At 43.9% G+C, this 3,765-nt stretch overlaps 1 long non-coding RNA gene across 1 annotated transcript; it reads left to right on the top strand.

Moving 5' to 3' along the window:
• Positions 1-358: 358 nt before the first annotated feature.
• On the top strand, positions 359-3,229 carry LOC105377489 (uncharacterized). Its single transcript, XR_939351.1, has 2 exons — positions 359-400; positions 2,385-3,229. It is a non-coding gene; the product is annotated as an uncharacterized LOC105377489 (long non-coding RNA).
• The last annotated feature ends 536 nt before the right edge of the window (positions 3,230-3,765 follow it).

The following is a 3,765-nucleotide window of genomic DNA, read 5'->3' as shown; positions in this document are numbered from 1 at the left end:
TACATGGTGTGTATACCAGGTAGAGGGGATTTGGGGAACCAGGGCTTCCCAAAGGCAGCCAGAGCTGCCTTCCTGATCCACTAACAGGGGAGGCCTAGATGATTCCAAGATGTCCTGGCCAAGGTCCTTTGCTGACACAGAAGGAAATTCACCAAAACTAGTTCGAGGAAAGAGATAAATTAAATGGAGGGACAGAGGTGATTTCATAGTCTCTGCCCACCACAGCTATGAAAGCAGGGGCCATAGTCTCAATGTCTACAAAGATAGACAGGCATGATGACTCAATAAAGACCCCAGAGTTGGCCAGGCACAGTGGCTCATGCCTGTAGTCCCAGCACTTTGGGAGGCCGAGCTGGGTGGATCATGAAGTCAAGAGTTTGAGACCAGCCTGGCCAACATGGTGAAAACCCATCTCTACTAAAAATACAAAAAATTAGCCGGGCATGTTGGCGGGTGCCTGTAATTCCAGCTGCTCAGGAGGCTGAGGCGGAGAATTGTTTGAGCCCAGGAAGTGGAGGTTGCAGTGAATTGAGATGGCGCCACTGCACTCCAGGCTGGGCAATAGGGCAAGACTCTGTCTTAAAAAACAAACAGGCTCCAGAGTCTAGTCAGTAGGGAGTAATGAGGTCTGTGGTGAATTGGGTAGGACCTGACTTCCCTAGCAGGGACAACCTAGACTTAGTGCCATAGTGTGGCCAAGCTTCGGAATTGCCAAGACAATCCAGAAGTCCCTATTTTCATGTGAAAACTCCTGAGTTTTAAAGTTGGACAACCATTTAAAAAATGATTTTAAATTTTCAAAATAAAATTGAGAACAGAGGATTTGGGAGGCATTAAAACCGCTCTGAATGATACTCTGATAGTTAGATATATGTCACTAGACATGTGTCCAAACCCATGGAATGTATAGCACGAAGAGTGAACCCAGTGTAAACTATGGACTTTGGGTGATAATGATGTGTCAATTTAGGTTCATCCGTTGTAACAAATGTGCCACTCCAGTGGGGGTAGTAGAGGCTGGGGGGGTGGGGGAGGTGCTGATAAGGGGGGAGGCTTTGCATGTGTGGGGGCAGGGGGTATATGGGGACTCTCTGCACCTTTACTAGGTCTTGCTGTGAAACTAAAACTGTTATAAAAATAGTCTGTTATAGTTAGAATTTAAATTTTTTTAAATCATTTAAAACCCCACAGTTGTGGGTCAGAGATGACCTATTGACCACCGGTGCGTGATTTCTGTGTTAGAGAAAGCCATATCCAGTTGAAGGAAGCAACACACTTGACCTAGCCAGGGAGAAATCCAACTCTAAGGACAAAATAGCTTCAGGAAGAATGTGATCTCATGTCAGCCAGGGCCCTGTATGTGGCAACACATCTTGGGCACCAGAAGCTGGATTTGTAAGTCAGATCCCTGAGGTGAAGTGAGGCCGACTGAGGGAGAGAAGGCGGGAGGCGTGAGTCCCACTGGGATCACTGGGCTAAAACAGTGTTTACTACGAAAAAAGGCTCTCGGCCTTGTAATGTGGTTTCATGAACAGAGTGGCACATCACCTCACATTTGGAATGCAACACCTTCAATGGTTTGCTAGAAAATTGCTCCCCAAATTATACTTCTGCAAAGAGTCCATGATAATAATGCACCACAAGGGCAGAGAAAAATGGATTGCAATTGGATACATTGAATAATGTAATGTTTCAACAATACCAGAAAGAACGTCCTATTATTAAAATACCACAGCAGTTTTTAAAAGCAGCATTAAAATCACCATGAGCAGGCATTAAGATCTGAGAATAACAAATATTGAGTTTTTCTCTGACCTATGGTAGGGCAAAAATCCCTCAATCTGCTTAAACTTTCAGAGAATATCCAGGCATTTACAGGAAAGGATAACTAGGGTGAAAAAGAAATTGCTCTGACTCTCATTCAATATGGGAGTGGCAAAATTATGGAGGTTTTAACATCTCTTTAAGCAAACCACACAGGTATAGTGAGGCGGGGAGCTGTGCAATTATCCAGGGAATGTGATTAACACTGAAAGCCCAGTCTAGAGAATTCAGGCTCTAAAATGCCTACCTTTTCTGGAATTGTCAGGCTGTGAGGGAAAACTGAAGGTGCTTTCAGTTCCCTTAATGATGGTCATTTCCTCTTGTAGCCCCAACTGGTATCCAGGTGTGTTATGAATTACAGAAAGTTTAACTTGAGTGCTGTCTCTGAACCTCACGTGGTCTCTTCCTCCCATGGACCCCCTCACTCCAGATCCCTTCTCTCTGGCTTCCAATTTCTCCCTGGGCCTTAGGCTACCTTACTTTCTTGTAAGTCTACCTGTATCTTATGCTTATTTAAGGTGTCAGCTAATCAATTTGCTGTCTTCTTGATCCACTAACAGGGGAGGCCTAGATGATTCCAAGATGTCCTGGCCAAGGTCCTTTGCTGACAGAGAAGGAAACTCACCAAAACTAGTTTGAGGAAAGAGAGAAATTAAATGGCGGGGCAGAGGTGATTTCATAGTCTCTGTGAGCAAAAGCATAGGCAGGCCTCATGGGACCCTGGAAAAAGAACAGAAATACCTGCAAATGAAGTTCCACTCTCATTCTCTTACCGGGGGCCATTCCTGCATTGCACCCGCAGATGTTGCTGCTACTCTGCAAGAAATTTGTGGGGTTCTAACCTCTGCCTCACCATGTGTCTGCTTCAGTTTCTTCTTTCTGCCAAGGTGGAAAGTGGCCATCCCAACTGTACCTTTGCAGGACCCAACGCTGACCATTGAGAGACTCTGGGTCAACTCCAAGCTGGAATGAGAAAGAGTTGAGTCGACCTATCCTCAAGCCCAACCAGAATCCCTCCATTCCCGTTTTCCTTCCCTGTTAATCTCTCTCTTCTTCATTAATCTTTTCATTGCTTCAGTATGGTAACCCAAACTGGTGGAAAGGGGACAGAAAATGGCACAATCAGAAACTGAAGCCACAAAGACCTAACATCCTATGGATGAGATTATCCATCTGCTGGAGAGATGACTTGAAGTGTACAGCAGATAAGCTTAGAGGGCCTCTCCAGACCCGTCGCAAAGATGCAATCTGAATGTAATTTAAGATAAATAGTAATCATGGAAACACTATCATATTAATCACAGAAATAAATGCAGTCCATGGGCTCTACGTTTGTGGATTCAACCAACTGAGAATTGAAAATATCCAGAAAAGAAAAATGGATGGTTCTGTCTGGACCAAACATGTACAGACTTTTTTTTTTCTTGTCATGATTCCCTAAACAGTACAGTATAACAACTATTTACATAGCATTTACATTGTATTAGGTATTATATATAAGTAGCCTAGAGATGATTTAACATATATGGGAGGATGTGCGTAGGTTATATGCAAATACTACCCTACTTTATATCAGGACTTGAGCATCCATGGATTTTGGTATCTGCAGAGGGTCCTGGAACCAATCCCCAATCGATGCTGAGTGATGACGGTAGTTGCTCTGCTTGGGATATTAAAAATAAAAATAACAAATGAATTGAAGAGTTACCATTTCTCTCTGGCCCTGTCCAGTGGAGCTGGGTACCTTGCCCAGCTCCAGGGGTCTGCTGGCTCATTTGGTAGGTGCCACTTTATTAGAGCAGAGGATTGTTATAGCTTGATGACACCAACCATTAAAAATCTTCCCACGCCCTGCTCAATGACCTTGCCTTGAATTAGTAATTCAGTTTTTCAAAAATACTTTTCATTTTAGAAAAAAATTTGCTCAGCAGCTGCCAGCGA

This window comes from Homo sapiens, chromosome 4 (genome assembly GCF_000001405.40).
Source record: "Homo sapiens chromosome 4, GRCh38.p14 Primary Assembly".
Classification (NCBI taxonomy): domain Eukaryota; kingdom Metazoa; phylum Chordata; class Mammalia; order Primates; family Hominidae; genus Homo; species Homo sapiens.
This window is presented reverse-complemented; position numbering and strand designations above follow the sequence as displayed.